This window comes from Homo sapiens, chromosome 12 (assembly GCF_000001405.40).
Source record: "Homo sapiens chromosome 12, GRCh38.p14 Primary Assembly".
NCBI classification, from domain to species: domain Eukaryota; kingdom Metazoa; phylum Chordata; class Mammalia; order Primates; family Hominidae; genus Homo; species Homo sapiens.
Genome location: NC_000012.12, coordinates 120339842 through 120360467, shown reverse-complemented (window position 1 = coordinate 120360467; position 20626 = coordinate 120339842). Strand labels below are relative to the sequence as shown.

Below are 20626 nucleotides of genomic sequence, written 5' to 3'. Positions count from 1 at the left end.
TTGAGAAGAGAGATGTCATGAGATTCTCCAGGGACCTTGTTGCCTCCTGGCTCAGTGGGGTCCTGGTTCTCCCAGTGGGAGTCAGAGGCCCACTGTAGCTTGATGCCTAAGGAGAGCTGGAGGATCACGGTAGTTCAGGGTGTTTAATGAGGCAGGGGAGGGCCTTTAGAAGGTAGATGATGGGGTCGGGCCTGGTGGCTCACGCCTGTAATCCCAGCACTTTGGGAGGCTGAGGCGGGTGGATCACTTGAGGCCAGGAGTTCGAGACCAGCCTGGCCAACATGGTGAAACCCCATCTCTACTAAAATACAAAAATTAGCCAGGAGTGGTGGCATGCACCTGTAATCCCAGCTACTCAGGAGGCTGAGGCAGGAGAATTCCTTAAACCTGGGAGGCGGGGGCTGCAGTTAGCCGAGATCATGCCACAGAACTCCAGCCTGGGTGACAGAGTAAGACTCTGTCTCCAAAAAAAAAGAAGGTGGTGGATGCTGGGCCTGGAAGTAGAGGGAAGGAGAGTAGGGAAGAGGCTGGTTACCCATGGCTTGATGGCTTGAGAAAAGTTTTTTTTTAATCCTTTGGATGTCTGGTCATTTGGGGGAGGGTTGGGGCCTGGAGTAGGATTGGGTTGGGTATCAGAGGCAGCCCCTGATTTATACCAAAGGTGACTCAGACCTTAACTAAGAAAGAGGGCAAGGAGGAGGCACCAGATGCAGGCAAATGGAAGGTGGCACCAAGGCCTTTGGTGACCGTATATCCAAGGGGTACCTAGAGGAAGTAACAAGAGTAGACTGGGGTCCAAGAGAGGATGGATGATGTAGATCCTCCCCCTTTCCCAGTCTCCTTCCCTTCCCCCAGTCAGTGGGAGGCAAAGCAGCCCAGGCACTGAACTCTACTTGCTTTAATTACAGCCTCTAGCAAAAGGAAACCTCAATTAGAGGAAAAGATCTGTAGCCGGAGAGGGGAGTCCAGTCTGGTTGCTGTCCTCCTGGCCTTTTACAGAAAGGGATGAGGCTTTTGCTTCCCCATCTTGTCATTTTCCTCCCTCCCATATTTCCTTCTCTAGCATCTTCTCTGTGCCTCCCCAGTTTGGTCAAGGTCTTGCTGTGTGATCTTGGGCAGGCAACTTCACCTCTCTGAGCCTACTTTCTTATCTACACCATGGGGATCTTACCATGCAGGGAATGTTGGGAGGACAATGGAGCTTAATAAATGCAGGCTGGTGCATTGAGATGATGGTGATTGAAAAGGGTTTTCAGTGGGGTTGCAGAAGGAAAGTTGTCCCCTGTGCAGGGAGCAGGTTGAAGGTCAAGCCTGGAGTGGGCAAGAGGGCAGTGGGTTGCCAGAGCCCCTGTTCCTTGGTGGTAGTGGGTTCCGCTGGTATCTGCTGGGTCCTCCATGGCGGGCTGTGTTTCAGGTGGACGACGCCATGCTGATGTTTGACAAAACCACCAACCGGCACCGAGGTGAGTGTGGCCCCCTCCCCCTTCCCAGGCTGGGCCCCGTGGTCAGCCAGGGGGCTGCAGGTCACAGCTGCCCTTTCATCTCGCCTTCTGACATCCTATCCCCCAGGATCTGCGTCCTCTCCCAGGCCTGGCCTTACAGAAGGCTTTTGTCCCACCATTTCCTGTGCTAGAAACTTGCCGAATTGCAGACACACGAGACGAACAGAGGAGTACCCACCCCCCCAGTCCCTGCAACCCACTGAGTCTCCTACCCCCACCCTAGTGGTGTCTGCCTCTGCCCGGGCTTACCTTGTCCCTGGTAACCAGAGCTTAGGCCAGGCCGCCCAGGGTCAGGCTGACTCCACAGCCCCAGGCAGTCACCTCCTGCCCAGCCCCCAGCCCCCAGCCCCGTTGCCTCTGAACCTGTGAGCATCTGGGCCACACCGTGTGCGTGTGCGCCACCTGGCTGTTTTTCTCCCGAGGGCCTTACCTTCTGAGAAATCCCTTTCCAGTCCCTGGGGCACACCCAGGAGGAGACAGGGTTGTTTCTCCAGTTGTTTCAGGACTTTTAGTCCATTTTGGGAGTGGGGTATGTGTTCTGTGTGTGTGTGTATTTGTATCTGTGCAAAAGGGGGTATCTGTGCCTAAATATCTGTTTATATCTGGTATGTCAGGGTAACTGCATGTGTCTGCGTGATACGCAGGTATCTAGATGTATGCATGCGTGAATGTGTGTCTATGTACATTTGTATGTTTGGACATGTACACCTTTGTGTAAGTTTAAATGAGTGTGCATGTGTGTTCCTTCTTCCCTCTTTGGAAAACACCTGAGGACTAGAAAAAGCATGTTGAGTGTATTCTCATCACAGCTCTACCACTTTCTAACTTGCTGTGTGACCTTGGGCAAGTTACTTCACTTACCTGAACCTTATTTTCCTCATCTGTATTCTGGGACTTGAAACCCTGTCTCAGTGGATAGTTGAGAGGATTCCAGGCTGTGAGCAGAGCCTTTCATTAACTCTCACTCGCCAGAGAGAGAGGAGCGGGGATATTGGTACGACCTGGGGTTGAGTTTTGACCCTGCGCTCTGGTTCTGACCTTGCCTTTATCCTTTGTCCAACCTCTAGGGTTCGGGTTTGTCACGTTTGAGAGTGAGGACATCGTGGAGAAAGTGTGTGAAATTCATTTTCATGAAATCAACAACAAAATGGTGAGTTGGGTCCGGGCGCAGTGGCTCACGCCTGTAAGCCAAGCACTTTGGGGAGGTTGAGGTGGGCAGATTACATGAGGTCAGGAGTTTGAGACCAGATTGGCCAACACAGTGAAACCCTGTCTCTACTAAAAATACAAAAATTAGCCAGGCATGGTGGTGCGTGCCTGTAATCCCAGCTACTTGGGAGGCTGAGGCAGGAGAATCGCTTGAACCCGGGAGGTGGAGGTTGCAGTGAGCTGAGATTGTGCCACTGCACTTCAGCCTGGGCAACAGAGTGAGTGAGACTCCGTCTCAAACAAAACAAAACAAAAACAAAAACATGGTGAGTTGGGATTGGATGGAGCGCAGGCACAGAGAAGACTGGGGCTCCTTGTGGGGCCTGCCAGGGAAGCTATGAGGTTCTAAAGGCAGGCAGAGGGGCTTCGAGTGAGTGGAGGCAGAGCCAGTTCTTCCAACCCCTAAAAACCTAGACAGGGAGGCAGTGTCACACGGTAGTTAATCAGGCAGATGACCTCCCTTCTCTGAGCCTCAGTTTCCACATCTGTCAAATGGGACTGGAAAAGCTCCTCCATCATAGTATTGGTAGTATTGGTGTAAGCATTCATTGAACGATTGCATGCAAAGCCGTTTACACACTCCCCAGCACATAGTGAGTGCTCCATCAGTGGTAACCATGAAATAGTTTTCAGCTGGACAGTGAAATTAATAAAATTAATAAAGGGGCTTTCCAGGGAACAAGAGGGCTAATGACTCTAGCTCTGTGGGAAAGACTAACCGCCAGGTCTCATTGCAGGTGGAATGTAAGAAAGCTCAGCCAAAGGAGGTGATGTCGCCAACGGGCTCAGCCCGGGGGAGGTCTCGAGTCATGCCCTACGGAATGGACGCCTTCATGCTGGGCATCGGCATGCTGGGTATGCGCGAGCCTGCGCCTGCGGCTTCTTTCTGCCAGAACTGCTCCCAGGACTAGCAGGGGCTGTGTGGGTGTTGCACCTCCCCTGTGGTCTGCCCTCCTCCTGTCTGAGTCATTGAGCAGGAGTGGGGACAAGGGATCTGTCGGGTCTGGCAGTCCTACCCAAGGTGGGGTGGTTTGGTTGGGGGGTGCTGCCCTCTGGTGGTAGCCAGCAGAAAGGTCCAACCATATTCATTGGTCCTGTCAATCTGTCCATTCTCTCGTCCATCCATCCCTCCATCTGTCCATTCCTCTATCCATTCATCCATCCAGTACACAGTTATTGAGCAACTCTATATGCCAGACATTATGCCAGGAACTGCAACAATGACTTTCTTTACAATCTGGCAGGGAAAACAAGTAAGAAGATAAAATAGATTTCAGATGCAGAAGTGTAGGGTGCCGAGGGAGTGTGGTCACAGGGAACTTGACCGTGACTTGGAGAAGTGGGAAAAGAAGTTACATTTAAGTTGAGTCTGCGGGTGGAGTAGGAGCCAGTGATGGGGAGGCTGGAGAGACGGGAAGGGGAAAAGTGTTCCAGGCGGAGGGAACAGCATTTGCAAAGGCCAAAGGCCTTTGGAGGGGGCAAAAGGAAGGCTGCCTGGTCTTATTCATTCAGGTAATATTTATTGAGCAACTTCTGAGAAGGAGAGCCTGCTCTCATGGGGCTCTCCTTCAAGTTGGAGACAGGAGTAAATGGGCACTGCCACTACAGAGTGACTGGAGGCTGTGGGAGGCCCCTAAACCCACCTGGAGGTTGAGGAGACTTCCTGGAAGAGGTGAAGGCTGCCATGAGCCTTGAAAGCTGAGCAGGAGTCAGCTGTGCTTTGGGTCCAAGACTGAGGGTGGTAAATCTGAGTTTGGCCCCCCAGGAAGCTCATAGGCTCCCTGGGGAGATGAGATGTGTACACACAGAAAGAGAACAGTACAAGGGGGTCTTTATGCCAGGCATGGGGGAGTGGCACACAGAGAGGTACTCTGGGAATTCAGAGGAGGGGGCACGGCATGGGCTAGAGGGTCAGAAGTCGGGGAGGCGAGCAGCCTCCAAATAGGGCACAGTCTTCCTTGAAGCTTTTCTTTTTTCTTTAACATGTTATTTGGAAGTAATCCCAAACTCAGAGGAGCTGCAAAAATAAAACAGTACAAAGAACATCCATATACCCTGTTATCAGATTCACCTGTTCTTAACATTTTGCCCCCATTTTGGTTGATCAGTTTTACTCTATGTGTATATATGTGTGTGTATGTGTGTTTGCAAATATGTATGTACACATGTATAGACACACAGACTTGTGATTTTTCACTGAATCATTTGAGGGCTAGTTACATGCATCGTGGCCCTTTACCCTTTGATGCTTCCTAAGATTAGGGATATTCTTTCATGTAACCACAGTTTAGTTATCAACTTCCTAAGTTTATAATTGATACAATATTTTTTTCTTTCTTTTTTTTTTTTTTTTTGAGACGGAGTCTCACTCTTTCGCAGGCCGGACTGCAGTGGCGGGATCTTGGCTCACTGGAAGCTCCGCCTCCTGGGTTCACGCCATTCTCCTGCCTCAGTCTCCCGAGTAGCTGGGACTACAGGCGCCCGCCACCGTGCCCAGCTAATTTTTTGTATTTTTAGTAGAGACGGGGTTTCACTGTGTTAGCCAGGATGGTCTTGATCTCCTGACCTCGTGATCTGCCCGCCTCAGCCTCCCAAAGTGCTGGGATTACAGGCGTGAGCCACCGCGCCCGGCCTTGATACAATATTTTTATCTAATCTACTTTCTATTTTCCAATTTTATCAATTGACCCAATAATGCTCTTTTTTTTTTTTTTTTTTTTTTTTTTGGTAGAGACGGGGTCTCACTATGTTGCCCAGCTGGTCTCGAACTCCTGGCCTCAAGCAATCTTCTCACCTCAGGTTCCCAAAGTGTTGTGGTGGTAGGCATGAGCCACCATGGCCAGCCAGACCCAGTAATGCTCTTTATAGAATATTTTTGTCCTTCAGAATAAGATCCAGGCTAGAATCAGGTATTGTAGTTAGTTGTCTTGTCTCTTTCACTTTGTTTTATTTAGAACATTGAGAAAGTTTTATTCTAAGGTGATTCATGAGCTGTTTTCACCCTTCATTTAAGAGGTGGAAAAAGAAGTTAGGCACCTTGGCTCACGCCTGTAATCCCAGCACTTTGGGAGGCTGAGGCGGGTGGATCACCTGAGGTTGGGAGTTCGAGACCAGCCTGACCAACATGGAGAAACCCTGTCTCAACTAAAAATACAAAATTAGCTGGGGGTAGTGGCACATGCCTTTATTCCCAGCTCCTCGGGAGGCTTAGGCAGGAGAATTGCTTGAACCTGGGAGGCGGAGGTGGCGGTGAGCCGAGATCATGCCATTGCACTCCAGCCTGGGGAACAAGAGTGAAACTCCATCTCAAAAAAAAAAAAGTGGAAAAAGAAATTATCTAACAAATAGTGAGATCGGTGGTTAAGAGGCTTGGAGCCCGTCAGATCTGAATTTTAATCTTAATTGCACCATTATTGCTAACTATTGGATTTTTCTTTGAGAAGACAGAAAATCAGCACTTAAAGAAATCATGAGTACTTTCTGGCCAAGTGTGGTGGCTCATGCTTGTAATTCCAGACCAAGGCAGGAGGATCACTTGAGGCTAGTAGTTCGAGACCAGCCTGGGCAATACAGCAAGACCCCATCTCTACAAAAAAATTAAAAATTAGCCAGGCATAGCAGCACACACCTTGTAGTCACAGCTACTAGGGAGGCTGAGGCAGGAGAATCACTTGAGCCCAGAAGTTTGAGGCTGCAGTGACCTACAATTGTACCACTGTGCACTCCAGCCTGGGCAAAAGAGCAAGATCCTGTCTCTAAAAAAGAAAAAAGAAAAAAAAATCATTATATAAGTTCAGATAATGATCATCAGTACTAAGAAAAGCCAAGGTGACATGATAGAAATTGTAGCTGATGGGAAGGAGGACACCTATGGGAAGATGTTTCGGAGTCTTGTACAATGAGAGGGACTCAGGCATGTAGTCATCTGGAAAGAGTGCTCCAGGCAAAGGCACCAGCATGTGCAAAGGCCCTGAGGTGGGAATGAGCTTGGCAAAGCTGAAAAACAGCAAGGAAGCCAATGTGGCTGGAGCAGAGGGAGGGAGGAGCAGTGTGCAGGAGATGAGGACAGGAGGGAAGCAGGAGCCAGAGCTCAAAGAGCATTGGATTATTCTCAGCCAAAAAGTGTCACCTTTCAGAGCCTCAGTTTCCTGTCTGTAAAATGGGGTGCCTAACAGTACCTACCTCTAAGGCGAGTTTAACGGGATAATAGTGTGCAGTGTGCTTGGCACAGGGCTTGGTATGAAGAAGGTATTTGGAGGGTATAGCTATTATTCATGATAAAGGAAGGTGAGGGGACATGAGTGGCTCAGGTCCTTCTCCATGATCAGGATCCGCCCTGTGGATGAGCCATCTGACACTGCCCCCTTGCCCCATCAGGTTACCCAGGTTTCCAAGCCACAACCTACGCCAGCCGGAGTTATACAGGCCTCGCCCCTGGCTACACCTACCAGTTCCCCGGTAAGTCCTGCTCAGTATCCCTCTGCTGCCAGCATGCCCCTGGTTCCCGGGCAGTCTGACTTCTCAGGGTGGTGTCTAGGGGTGCATGGCTGGGGGTCTGCTTGCTGGAGGCTTGGAAGGAAGGGCATGTCTGAGGAAAGAGGGCCTCTCCCCACCCATCCCCCCCAAACCCCTCCCCAGAAGCTGGGGACAGGGGCTCCCAGCGTGGCCCTGCATGGCACCGTTTTCTCCCAGGCCATCCTCTGCCTGCCTCCTGCCTGTCTCTCCTCCCCACCCGACTCCAGGGTTGCCACTTCCACCAGAGAGGGCATTGGGCTTGTAGTGGGGGCCTCTCCGAGGGCCATTGTTGGTTGCATCATCACAGACACCTATAATGGCCAGGCTCTAGGCTGAGCTCTTTCAAGTCCAGACAAGGTATTATGCTGAGACCCTAAATGCTGAAAACCAGTTGAAAAGCATTATCATTACCACGCTCATTTGTAAGCCAACATAAAGATAACACTAGACCTGAAAGTAAATGTCAGGAAGCCCAGTTCTGGACTTCCCATGATGACTATTCAATGCAGTTTTCTTTGAAATAAGAAATACAAACTTTTGCAAGGCCATTTATTTATTTATTTACTTGGGGGTCTTATTTATTTGGAGGGCCCCTAAGCACTTACATCCTCTGCCTCAGGGCTGTTCAGCTTGGAGAACTTTGTGTACGGGACGTTGCCTAATTCTCTCAATAATCTCATGGGGGAAGGATGCTTATCCTCATTTTAGAGATGAGGACATAGGCTCAGAGGAAGAATGACAAAGCTAAGATGAGCCAACTAGGAAGTGGCAGAGCTGGGACTTGAACCCAAGCCTGACCTATTCTACCTATTCTAGGGCCGTCGCTTTTCATCAGGCTGCCTTCCCCCAACACACACACACACACACAAGAAGAAGAGGATTCTGGGAGATGTTTTTGGTAATAGTCAAATTGTAAGCCTTTTAGAGACACCCGAGCCTGGACATGGTGACTCACGCCTGTAATCCCAGCACTTTAAGAGCCTGAGATGGGAGGATGGCTTGAGCCCATGAGTTTGAGATCAGCCTGGGCAACATAGTGAGGCCTTGTCTCTACAAGTTAGCCAGGCATGATGTTGTGTGCCTGTGGTCCCAGCTACTGAGGAGGCTGAGGTGGGAGGATCGCTTGAGCCCAGGAGGTCGAGTGTGTAGTGAGCTGTGTTCATGCCACTGCATTCCAGCCTGGGCAGCAGAGTGAGACCCTGTCTTTTTTTTTTTTTTTTTTTTAAATAAAAAGGGCCAGGCGCGGTGGTTCATGCCTGTAATCCCAGCACTTTGGGAGGCCAAGACGGGCGGATCACGAGGTCAGGAGATCGAGACCATCCTGGCTAATACAGTGAAACCCCGTCTCTACTAAAAATACAAAAAATTATCCGGGCGTGGTGGCGGGCGCCTGTAGTCTCAGCTTCTTGGGAGGCTGAGGCAGGAGAATGGCGTGAACCCGGAAGGCGGAGCTTGCAGTGAGCCGAGATCGCGCCACTGCACTCCAGACCGGGCGACAGAGCGAGACTCCATTTCAAAAAAAAAAAAAAAGAGAGAAAGAAAGAAAAAGAAAAGAAACAGAAAAGAAGGAAACAAGCCAACACCTGGAATCGTAGCTCCAGCCCTGCCCCGTGCCCAGGGTATAGGTGGCAACTCTGCTCCCTCTCTCTGTCTCTCCTCTGTGTCTGTCTCCTTGCCCTCCCCTGCCTTCTGGGAACTGTGCTCTCCCCCTCCCCAGCTCTTGGGTCCTGTGCATGGCCTGTCTCCTCACCCAGTGTCCCTGTGGGTGCATTTGTCCTCCCTGGGCCATGTCCAAGGGGCCTCCCCTGCTTCTTCCTAAGCTGTTTTACGTTTCATTTTAGAATTCCGTGTAGAGCGGACCCCTCTCCCGAGCGCCCCAGTCCTCCCCGAGCTTACAGGTCAGTCGCTCGGATTTTGTATACCTCTCAGGCCACATGGGGAGAAACAGAAGGGGCCCAGGGAGTTTCCTGGGGAAAGCTAGCGGGATCCTTTTCTCCTGCCCGCCAGCCCTCCGGCTGTGGGGACACAGCAGACTGTGCCTGGGCACTGGCCAGTCTGGGCGGCTACATGGCCCTTAAGGGTGGGGCATAGGGCCAAGCCAAGCAGATGGAGGCAAAGTCACTCATTCATCCATTTGGCAAATATTTATCTAGCACCTCTCGTGTGCCAGGCTCCATGGAGGCTCTGGGATCCCGCAGTGAACAAGCCAGGGTCTCAAACTCATTGCAAAGTGGGCTGGGTGGGGACGTCTGCACACCAGCGTGGGCATACCTGCCCTCGGTGCCAGCTGACTCTTGCCGGGAGGGGACACAGACTCACTATGCTCAGATCTCATGTTTTTCCAGAGATGCCAGAAACCTGGCTTTTGCTTTCGTATGAATTTTTCCATTATTTTTCAATGTTGGCAACAGATTCTAAATGTTTAAAACACTGTGAGCCAAATGAAATATTGCCAAGGGCCGAATCCAGCCCTTTGGTGACTTCTGGACAAGTGGGGTGAAGGTGACAGGGGGCCGGTTTCCTGGCTGGCACCTTCACTCGGGCCAGCCAGCTCAGCTGCGGAGCCAGCCTTGAGCCGAGGAGACTGCAAGCACGTGGGGTGGGCTGCAGGGGGTTTCTCTGTCCAAGCTGCTTCTCCCCCACCCCACCCCCAGACTCTCCCCTCAACCTGGCCATGTGTGGAAGACGTGAGCATGGACCCTGCTTTAGATAAGACCTTCCTTCCAAGGGGTGCTCAGGGTTCCCCCAAAATGGGGGAGAGGAAGAGAAACCTGGAGTGAAGGAAGGGGTGGGGAGGAGAACCCTAGAGATGCAGGTAACAGAGGCTCTTCCCTGAAAAGAGGGAGAGTTTGGCCACTAGTTGTCAGGGTGGAGGGCTGGAAGGAGGTCCTTGTTACTCATTTAAGAACTGTGTGTGCTGGGCGTGGTGGTTCACGCCTATAATCCCAGCACTCTGAGAGGCCAAAGCAGGAGTATCCCTTGAGGCCAGAAGTTCAAGACTAGCCTGGGCAACATGGTGAAACCCCATCTCTACTAAAAAAAATAAAAAACTAGCCAGGTGTGGTGGTGGTGCATGCCTGTAGTCCCAGCTACTTGGGAGGCTGAGGTGGGAGGATCGTTTGAGCCCAAGAGGTGAAGGCTGCGGTGAGCCATGATTGCATCACTGCACTCCAGCCTGGGCAACAGAGCACCATGTGTTACGGACCTACTGTGCACAGGATGCCCTCCCAGACCCTGGGGACAGAGCGGGGATAAGACAGAGGCAGGCCCTGATCTCACAGAACTCGCAGTTTAGAGAGGGGAGCAAATACTTATTATATAAATAAGTCATTCTTTACAGTGTGGTAAGCACATGCTGGGGTTGGCTCCTCTGACTTTATGGAAATGCCTAAATGAGCCAAACAACAGACCTCAGAGCCCAGTCCCTGGCCTTAAAGAAATGACAGAAGAAATGTCCCTTTTAGAGATATCTTGGCAGGCAAGGGAGTAGGTACAAGATCAACAGTGCTTGGGCACCTAGGATCTGAACTTTCCTCTAGCCTTGGAGAAAAGGAGACTTGGGTGGTTTTTTCATGCATTCGATAAATATTCATTGTACCAGACACCACTCCAGGCACTGGGGCCACAACAGTGAGTGACACAGACAAGGTTCCTGTCTTCCTGGAACTGAAATTCCAGAGGAAGGAGACAGCAGTAAACAAGTAAACAGGCCGGGGGTGGTGGCTCATGCCTGTAATCCCAGCACTTTGGGAGGCTGCAGCAGGTGGATTACTTGAAGTCAGGAGTTCAAGACCAGCTTGGCCAACATGTTGAAACCCCATCTCTATTAAAAATACAAAAATTAGCTGGGCGTGGTGGTGCATGCCTGTAATCCCAGCACTTTGGGAACCTGAGGCAGGCAGATCACCTGAGGTCAAGAGTTTGAGACCAGCCTGGCCAACATGGTGAAACCCCATCTCTACTAAAAATACAAAAAAAATTAGCCAGGCATGATGGTGCACACCTGTAGTCCCAGCTACTTAGGAGGCTGAGCCAGGAGAATCACTTGAATCCAGGAGGCAGAGGTCGCAGTGAGCTGAGATCATGCCACTGCACTCCAGACTGGGCAACAGAGCTAGACTCTGTCTCAAAAAAAAAAAAAAAAAATCAAGTAAAACAAGAAAGGCTTACCTGAGTATCCCCAAAGCAAATAAGATATTTTTGGGCTGGGTGTTGTGGCTCATGCCTGTAATCCCAACACTTTGAGAGGCCAACACAGGAGGATAGCTTGAAGTCAGGAGTTCGAGACCAGCTTGGGCAACATACCAAGACCCTATCTTTTATTTTATTTTATTTATTTATTTTTTTTGAGATGAAGTTGTGCTCTTGTTGCCCAGGCTGGAGTGCAATGGCGCGGTCTTGGCTCACCGCAACCTCCACCTCCTGGGTGCAAGCGATTCTCCTGTCTCAGCCTCCCATGTAGCTGGGATTACAGGCATGCACCACCACACCTGGCTAATTTTGTTTTTTGTTTTTTGTTTAGTAGAGACGGGGTTTCTCCATGTTGGTCAGGCTGGACTTGAACTCCCGACTTCAGGTGATCCGCCCGCCTCGGCCTCCCAAAGTGCTGGGATCACAGGCATGAGCCACCGCACCCAGCCTTTCCAAGACCCTATCTTTACAAAAAAATTAATTTAAAAAAAAAAAGATATTTTTGGAGGGTGAGAAGTTCCATGAGGAAATTAAAGCAGGGAAATGTGCTAAGGCGTTATGGTTGGGGACAAGGGGCCGCCTGAGTGGGGGTATTCAGGGAAAGCTTCTTAGAGGAGGTGGCATCTGAGTGAGAAGGAGCCCACTGTATGAAGTTTTTAGGAAAGATTCACAGTAGGAGGTGCTCATCTCTCAGCCCCAGGGAGCCCCAGGCTCAAGCCATTCAAGCCACTGGGTGTTTTAAGCAGATTCCCTTTCTACTCTTTCAGCAGGTATTAAGCACCTGCCGTGTACAAGGCAAGGTGCTAGGTGCTGCAGAGGTGGCGATGATGGCAGACAGCAAACAAGGGGATAGGTGCCTGTGTCTGAAGAGGAGATGGCAGACAAAGAGGCTGGGGGGATTTGGGGGAGGCAGTGGTCATTTCTGGGTGGTCAGGGAGGCCCTTAGGGTGCTCTCAGGAGACAGGGGCGAGGGGAGCAGGACAGGCAGCAGAAGGTGCGGTGCAACGCTATGGCCTCGGTGTGAGCCCAGCCTCAGCCTGACCCCTAGAGCGCTCTACCTGGGGGCAGCAGGCCTGGGGGCCTGTCCCATGTCTGTCTATCGCCAGGTGTCGTGGGCTGCGAAGAAGGACGTGAGCTCCCAGGCACCTCTGGGCCAAGTGATCCCTGTTTTGCCAAGGGCATCCTGGAGAAGGGGGCAGCTGCGGGCAACCTTCGCAGCTTCTCAGGGTTGGGTGCCCTGCCTCCACCCTCCATGAGCTTTGGGTTATTCAAGCATGTCCCCCCAGACCAGGGGAGAAATTGAGGCTCAGCTACTCACTGGGAAGCTGTCCTCTCTCCCACCTTTTTCCATCCATGCCACAGGTCAGGACACAGATGGTGTGGCCCAAGGTAGCCTTTTCTGCCTTGACCCTGGGGCTACATGGAACCCTCTGAGGTAGGGCCAGGCTGGACAGGCTCTGCCTAAAAGGTAGGGGCCTCCTTCACCCATCTCTGCCCCTCACCGCCATGCTGATGTGCCCATCCCTTTCCTTTCAGCCATTCCTCTCACTGCCTACGGACCAATGGCGGCGGCAGCGGCGGCAGCGGCTGTGGTTCGAGGGACAGGTGAGCTCTTCTGAGGTGCAGGAAGAGAGATGAGGGAGCACAGGGAGCAGAGAAGTCCAGGGGAGGGGAGAAGGCCACTGCCACCCCTTTGCAGAGGGACACTTGTTCATTCACTCAAGTATCACCTGATTACCTGCTCTGTGCTGGGCATCGTGCCAGCATGGGCGAGCCAGCCCTCAGCAAGACTGACAGGGTCGGCTGGGCGCGGTGGCTCCTGCCTATAATCCTGGCACTTTGGGAGGCCAAGGTGGGCAGATCACCTGAGGTCAGGAGTTCCAGAGCAGCCTGGCCAACATGGTGAGACCCCGTCTCTACTAAAAATACAAAAATTAGCTGGGCGTGGTGGTGCGCGCCTGTAATCCCAGCTACTCGGGAGGCCAAGGCAGGAGAATCGCTTGAACCCGGGAGGCGGAGGTTGCAGTGAGCTGAGATCACGTCACTGCACTCCAGCCTGGGCAACAGAGTGAGACTCCGTCTGTCTCAAAAGAAAAAAAAAAAAGACTGACAGGGTCTCTGCCTTCCAGGGCTTGCAGCCTGGTGGTGGCATCAGGTATTAAAAAGGCAATAATGCTGATGGCTGATGCTGCTGCACTAGGGGGAGTCCAGTACCAGAGGAGCTCCCAGCTGGGGCCTCTAGGAAAGGCGAGGGAAGGCTTCCAAGAGGAAGGGCCTCTTAACTTTGCATTCAAAGGCAAAGAGGAGGAAAAGTGTTTCTGGTTGAGGGAATAGCATATGCAAAGGCTTGGAGGCCAGTGGGTGGGGAAAGTGCGGAAGTGGGGAGTGGAGAACGGAGGCAGGAGGAGCCCGGGTGGTGGGGAGACAGTGGAAATTGCAAGTAGCAGAGGGACGCGGGTCAGGGTTTAGAACATGCATTCAGCTGCTAGGTGGGGAGAGGTTGGGAAGGGGCTCAGGAGGTGAGGCTGCTGAGTGGTCAGACGAGATGATGGGGGTCAGGGCTAGGGGTGACTGGGTGGATGGGCATGGGGAGATCTCCAGGAGGTGGGCCCACAGGACTTTCTGAAATGTGGGGGTCCAGGTTAGGGTGGGTGGGACAGGCTTGAGGGGGTGCCGTGGGGTGGCAGAGGGCACCAGGGCTATCACCGTCTTCTTTCTGGGTTGCCAGGCTCTCACCCCTGGACGATGGCTCCCCCTCCAGGTTCGACTCCCAGCCGCACAGGGGGCTTCCTGGGGACCACCAGCCCCGGCCCCATGGCCGAGCTCTACGGGGCGGCCAACCAGGACTCGGGGGTCAGCAGTTACATCAGCGCCGCCAGCCCTGCCCCCAGCACCGGCTTCGGCCACAGTCTTGGGGTGAGTGGCCAGGCCTAGCGGCCCCCACCTCACCCCCCACACCTTGAGAGACCCCCAAGTTGGGGAAGGGAGAGAACTTCTTTGTCTCTGGGGGCAAAAGGAGGGTGAGGGAGGATGAATGGAGAAAGATCACTAAGGAAGAGTTGTGGGGGTTATCATTCATTCAGTGGGCACTTAGTTATCGCCTCTGAATGCCAGGCATAGTGGGCTCTAGGTGCAAATGAGACACATGGCATCTCTGCTCACATGGAGGTTTGATTCCAGGGGTGCCCTGGTTTTATCCAGGGTACGGTTTGTGCAGATTCCCTGGCCCTCTGTTGGAGAATCTTTGAGCAGACCTGCAGTGGGGGGTGATCCGGGTAGGCAGACCTGCAGTAGGGGGGCGATCCGGACAGGTAGAGAGAGGTCAGCGCCTCACTTCAGATGTCCTGCAGAGAGAGAAGGAGCCCCTGATCTTCCTCTATTTCCCAGGAATCTAGGAGTCAAATTCTTTCCTTTTCAGGGCCCTTTGATTGCCACAGCCTTCACCAATGGGTACCACTGAAGCAGGGGACGGTGGCAGGAGGTGAGGATGTGGGGGTGGGCAGGTGGTGGGGTGGCACTGGGGAAGCCTGTCCTGGGCCATCGAATCTGGGACACAGACCCCATCCCTGCCCTCAAGAACCACAGTCCCAGGGGAGACAGATCTTTATACCAGCTGTGGTCAATAAAGATGAAAAGCTGCTCACCCTACTCCATTTAAACACAGAAATCAAAGCAACAGTAAGGCTTCACATCCCACCTATCAGGTTGGCAAAGATTATTATTATTATTATTTTTGAGACAAGATATCGTTCTGTCACCCACACCTCCTGGGCTCAAGGGATCCTCCCACCTCAGACTCCTCCCGAGTAGCTGGGACTGCAAGCACCTGCCACCATGCCTGGCTAATTTTTTTACTTTTTTTGTAGAGACAGGGTTTCACTGTGTTGCCCAGGCTGGTCTCAAACTCCTGGGCTCAAGGGATCCTCCTGCCCTGGTCCCCCAAAGTGCTGGGATTACAGGTGTGAGCCACCAGCGCAGGCCACAAAGATTTTTTAAGATCGTTTATTATTATTACTATTATTTTATTTTATTTTTGTAGATGGAGTCTCGCTCTGTCACCCAGGCTGGAGTGCAGTGGCGCAATCTTGGCTCACTGCAAACTCGTCCCCTGGGTTCAAGCAATTCTCGTGTCTCAGCCTCCCGAGTAGCTGGGATTACAGGCATGTGCTACCGCACCCAGCTAATTTTGGTATTTTTTTTGTTTTTAGCAGAGACGAGTTTTGCCATGTTGGCCAGGCTGGTCTCAAACTCCTGGCCTCAAGTGATCCATCTGCCTCGGCCTCCCAAAGTGCTGGGATTACAGGGGTGAGCCACCGTGCCCAGCCCTATTATTATTATTTTTAATAGAGATGTGGTCTCACTGCCACCCAGGCTGGAGTGCAGTGTGCAATCACAGCTCGCTGCAGCCTGGAACTCCTAGGCTCAAGCCATCCTCCACCTCAGCCTCCCAAGTAGCGGGGACCACAAGAGCATGCCACCATGCCTGGCTAAGTTTTTAAAAAATTTTTTTGTAGAGATGGGGTCTCATTATGTGGCCCAGGTTGGTCTTGAACTCCTGGCTCAAACGATCTTCCTCTGCCTTGGCCTCCCAAAGTGCTGGGATTTCAGGCATGAGCCACCGGGCCCAGCCACAAAGATTTTTTAAGTTGAACACTGCCCAGCATTGATCAAGATATGGGAGAAGCAAGTAAGTACAGTGGCTCAGGGGTTCCCGGGGCAGTCTGGCAGTGTTTGTCCCAGTTTCAAACATTCATGCCCTTGGACCCAACAATTCCACTTCTAGGCATTTATTTTTAAAACTGCAAATAACTGAAATATCCATCAAAAGGAAAGTGGTTAAACAAATTAGTGTGTGTACAGTGGTATAGTACACAGCTATCAAAACAGGATACCTTGGCCGGGCGCAGTGGCTCACGCCTATAATCCCAGCACTTTGCGGGGCCAAGGCAGGCGGATCACCTGAGGTCAGGAGTTCTAGACCAGCCTGGACAACATGGTAAAACCCCATCTCTACTAAAAATACAAAACTTGGCTGGCGTGATGGTGCGCACTTGTAATCTCAGCTACTCGGGAGGCTGAGGGACAAGAATCGCTTGAACCCAGAAAGCGAAGGCTGCAGTGAGCCGAGATCAGGCCACTGCACTCCAGCCTGGGCAACAGAGCAAGACTCCACCTCAACAAACAAAAAACAACAGGATACCTCGACTTGTGGGACTGTGTACACGGCCATCACAGTGTCTATCCAGATGGTGGGAGACTGTGAGCCCATGACATTCTGTTCATTCACCCATTCATTTATGAGCCCCATTCCAGGAAAGAGGATGAACAAGACAGACAAAGTCCTCTCTCATTTCACAGGACAAAAATCAAGTGAACATATGAGATAATTCCAGACTGTGCATGACAGGGCTATTTTAGATGTGGGGTTTAGAGAAGGTATCTCTGAGAAGGGGACATTTAAATAAATCCAGCCATTCGAAATCTGGGGAAAGAGGCATCCAACCAGGGAACAGAAAGTGCAAAGTCTGGCTGGGTGTGGTGGCTCACATTCGTAATCCCAGATCTTTGGGAGGCCAAGGCAGGAGGATGGCTTGAGGACAAGAGTTTGAGACTAGCCTGGGCAATATAGTGAATCCCCATCTCTGCTACAACAACAAAAATGAGCAGAGTGTGTTTGCTTTCACCTGTAGTCCCAGATACTACCTGTAATCCCAGAGTCTCAGGAGGCTGAGGCAGGAGGATCACTTGAGCCTAGGGAGGTTGAGGCTGCAGTGAACTATGATCGCTGTCACTGCACTCCAGCCTGGGCAACAGAGCTGGACTCTGTCTCTAAAAAAATAAGAAGAAGAAAGTAGGTAGTTTACGAACAAAGCTCTTCTGGGAGAGAACTGGGGAGGGCTGCGTGTGCTCCGGGAGCCCCCATAACCTCCTGGCTGTGTTCCCAGCGCCCCAGCCTGCAGCTGACTGAGGACCACGAGTGAGCCAGCGAGGGGGCGGGAGACCTCAGCCGCAGCCGCCGCCCCCTCCCCTGCAGCGACTCGGACCCGCTACTGCCTGCCCCCAACTCCCCGGGCCCGGCCCCTGCCCTGCTGCCCCCAACAGCGTCTGGCTCCCCTACTAACGTCCCCCTCTTCGCCCTTGCCCCCATCCCCACCCGCCCCTCTCCCGGCCCTGCTTTTATTTATTTTGGATTAGCCGGTTGCCCACCCCAGCCCTCTGGTCCATCCCTCCCTCCGTGCCGCGCCCCCCTAGGACCGCCCCCTCCCCAAAAGGCTTTTGGATTTGTGCATAGCTGGAGTGAAGGCGGAGGGAGCCTGCTACAGGCCGCAGCCCAACCCCTGTTTTTTATTCAGATTTCCCCTCCTTTACCCTTTCCCTTTTTTTTTTTTTTTTTTTTTTTAAAGAAACCTTTTTTAAACTATTTCTAGGTTTGTGAATGTGAAGCCCCAGGCCGCAGGGGGCAAGGGGCCAGGTGCCCCCCACCAGCTGAGAACAAAGTGTCTATCTGGGTGTGGGCCCCTGGCCGCCTCCCTCCAGCCCTGGAGAGGAGGGCAGGGCTGCGGGGAGGCCAGGCCGAGCCCCTGGAACCATCCCGTCCTGTATCATATGTAAATACTGTGAGGTGATGTGCCCACCCCTCTCTAAGACCCCTCGGGGGTGAGGGGCTCCCCCCTCCCCTGTTTCTGTCCCCTCAGACACCGTTACTGTAAGCTTGCAGGCCTCAGCTGTGGCCACGGCAGGCCCGCTCTCTCAGGCCCTCAGGGTCAAGGCCTTGGTTGGACCTGCCCACTCCAAAAACCCAGTGTGGGGGCAAAGGGCGTGGGAAGAGCAGGGCTTGCCCAGCGACACTGCTGGACAGGAATTAACTCTCCAAAGGTCTCCCCTGCTCCCTACCTAGGTTGGGGCTTCATGGTTTCTGCTCAGTCTGTCCCCCTTCCCCCTCGACCCCCGCAATGAGTGGGCACCAGGGGACGCTCTGGCGAGGGCAGACCCCAGGGGAAAGCAAAGGGCGTCTCAGGGAACCCCCACATTCTCTCACTGAAGTTTCCCACCAGGATGACCCCACAGCCAGAGTCCCTTGGCAGCCCCTCACCCCAGACCCCCCTTCTAAGGAAAAAGAGAGGTTCAGAGCGTTGGACCTTCATGAACAGTGGCCTGGCTGGCGTGGCAGGGCCAAGGCCCACCCACTGCCATCCCCCTTCTGTGTGTCCCTCTCCCCCAGTTATGAGGCCCAGGGCCTGAGCTCTCTTCCCCAGCATTGCCCCCACCCGGAAACCCCACCTTTGGAGAGTTAATTGTCTGTGTGAGGTGCTTAACCTATCAGCCCTGAGAACACAAAGCAATAATCTTTGTTACTGAGATGCGCGGCTGTTCGTGTTTTGGGTTTTTTTTTTTTTTAATGTTTCCTAATAAAAGAGAAGCTGCATTTTATTGGTTTTTATTTTTAATTTTCTACACGTTTGAGCTGAGTCCTGAGACACTTAGCTTCCCTCTCCCTCATTCCCGGACCCTTCCACCCCACTGGGCCCAACCATGGGCTCAGGACCCTGGAATTCCGTTTTCTGATTTGCTTTGGGATTTTTTTTTTTTTTAAGATGTTACATGGTGTTTCGAAGCCAGCAAGTTACCATCCTCCGGTGTCTCTTCTCTCCACATCTGTAACTTCTTTTTCCAGGTTTTATTTTCAGTTTTAAATTCCTAATAAATTATTTGAAAACGTTGCTGGGCTTGTGAATGTCTTGTGTCTCTGTGCATTCAGGGATACCTCATTTTCCTGTTTTAGGGATGGCAGGACTCACCTCCATCCTCTTAGGGTCCTGGCAGGATCCAAGAATTAAATTGACACAAGATAGATGAACAGGGCCAGTCAGTCACAGTGGCTCATGCCTGTAATCCCAGCACTGTGGGAGGCAGAGGTGGGCAGATCAATTGAGGTCAGGAGTTCGAGACCAGGCTGGTCAACATGGCGAAACCCCATCTCTACTAAAAATACAAAAATTAGCCGAGTGTGGTGGTGGGTGCCTGTGGTCCCAGCTACTCAGGAGGCTGAGGCAGGAAAGTCTCTTGAACCCTGGAGCTGGAGGCTGCGGTGAGCTGAGATCATGCCACCGCACTCTAGCCTGGGTGAGAGTGAGACTCTGTCTCAAAAAAAAAAAAAAAAAAAGAATAGGAGAAAAGCGTACACATTTATTTATTAAAAGTTGTGCATGGCATGGGAGCCTCCATAAAGAAATGAAGGCAGAGTGTGGTTGCTCACACCTGTAATCCCAGTACTTGGGGAGGCTGAGGCAAAAGGAGTGCTTGAGGCCAGGGGTTCAAGACCAGCCTGGGCAACTTAGTGAGACCTTCATCTATATAAAATATTAAATTATTTAGGTATGGTGGCACAAGCCTGTGGTCCCAGCTACTCAGGGGACAGAGGTGGGAAGATTGCTTGAGCCCTGGGAGTTGGAGGCTGCAGTGAGCCATGTTCTTGACACTGCATTCCAGCCTGGAGGACAGAGCAAGATGCTCTCATTCTCAAAAAAAAAGAAGAGAGAGAGAGGGAGAAATGAAGACCTAAAGAAGCAGTTAGAGTTACTGATATACTGGATTGGACAAAGAATAGTAAATTATGAAAAAGCCACTCAATTATGTGGAGAAGCTTAAAAGATAACAGCTATTTTGGGCCAGGCATGGTGGCTCACGCCTATACTCCCAGCACTTTGGGAGGCCAAGGCGGGCGGATCGCCTGAGCTCAGGTGTTCGAAACCACCCTGTGCAACATGAAACCCCGTCTCTACTAAAATACAAAAAATTAGCTGGGTGTGGTGGCACGCACCTGTAGTCCCAGCTACTTGGGAGGCTGAGGCATAAGAATCGTTTGAGCCCAGGAGGCAGAGGTTGCAGTGAGCCAAGGTCGCGCCACTGCACTCCAGCCTGGGTGACGGAGTGAGACTGTCTCAAAGAAAAAAAAAAAAAGCTATTTTGGCTGGGCACGTTGGCTCACAACTGTAATCGAAACACTTTGGGAGGCTGAGGAAGGCGGATCCCTTGAGTCCAGCAGTTCGAGACTTGCCTGGGTGATATGGTAAAACCCCATCTCTACAAAAAAATACAAAAATTAGCCGGTTGTGTGGTGGTGCAGGCCTGTAGTCTCAGCTACTTGGGAGGCTGAGATGGGAGGATTTCTTGAGCCAGGGAGACAGAGGCTGCAGTGAGCTGAGATT

General features: G+C 52.0%; 1 protein-coding gene across 23 annotated transcripts in view, besides 3 other annotated features; it reads left to right on the top strand.

Annotated features, from left to right (window-relative positions):
* MSI1 (musashi RNA binding protein 1) overlaps positions 1-20626 on the top strand; it is a 29503-nt gene that overhangs the window by 8697 nt on the left and 180 nt on the right. For 13 of the 23 annotated variants that reach the window (NM_001414495.1, NM_001414485.1, NM_002442.4 and 10 more), the window contains 9 exons: positions 1415-1463; positions 2570-2652; positions 3449-3566; positions 7089-7169; positions 9068-9124; positions 12954-13022; positions 14146-14333; positions 14836-14898; positions 17363-19138. In NM_001414495.1, coding sequence (NP_001401424.1) covers positions 1415-1463; positions 2570-2652; positions 3449-3566; positions 7089-7169; positions 9068-9124; positions 12954-13022; positions 14146-14333; positions 14836-14877 — 687 coding nt within the window. In that variant the 3' untranslated portion in view covers positions 14878-14898; positions 17363-19138. Of the gene's footprint in view, positions 1-1414; positions 1464-2569; positions 2653-3448; positions 3567-7088; positions 7170-9067; positions 9125-12953; positions 13023-14145; positions 14334-14835; positions 14899-17362; positions 19139-20626 lie in introns of those variants that run through there. The other 10 variants (NM_001414497.1, NM_001414487.1, NM_001414498.1 and 7 more) reach the window with 4 other exon arrangements.
* Positions 872-1483: an enhancer, noted in NCBI's record as "H3K27ac-H3K4me1 hESC enhancer chr12:120796788-120797399 (GRCh37/hg19 assembly coordinates)". NCBI's record gives its function as "activates a minimal SCP1, AML or CMV promoter by ChIP-STARR-seq in naive H9 embryonic stem cells {active_cell/tissue: H9 hESC(naive)}" and the evidence as "EXISTENCE:reporter gene assay evidence [ECO:0000049][PMID:30033119]".
* Positions 1484-2096: an enhancer, noted in NCBI's record as "H3K27ac-H3K4me1 hESC enhancer chr12:120796175-120796787 (GRCh37/hg19 assembly coordinates)". NCBI's record gives its function as "activates a minimal SCP1, AML or CMV promoter by ChIP-STARR-seq in naive H9 embryonic stem cells {active_cell/tissue: H9 hESC(naive)}" and the evidence as "EXISTENCE:reporter gene assay evidence [ECO:0000049][PMID:30033119]".
* Positions 3533-4033: an enhancer, noted in NCBI's record as "H3K4me1 hESC enhancer chr12:120794238-120794738 (GRCh37/hg19 assembly coordinates)". NCBI's record gives its function as "activates a minimal SCP1, AML or CMV promoter by ChIP-STARR-seq in naive H9 embryonic stem cells {active_cell/tissue: H9 hESC(naive)}" and the evidence as "EXISTENCE:reporter gene assay evidence [ECO:0000049][PMID:30033119]".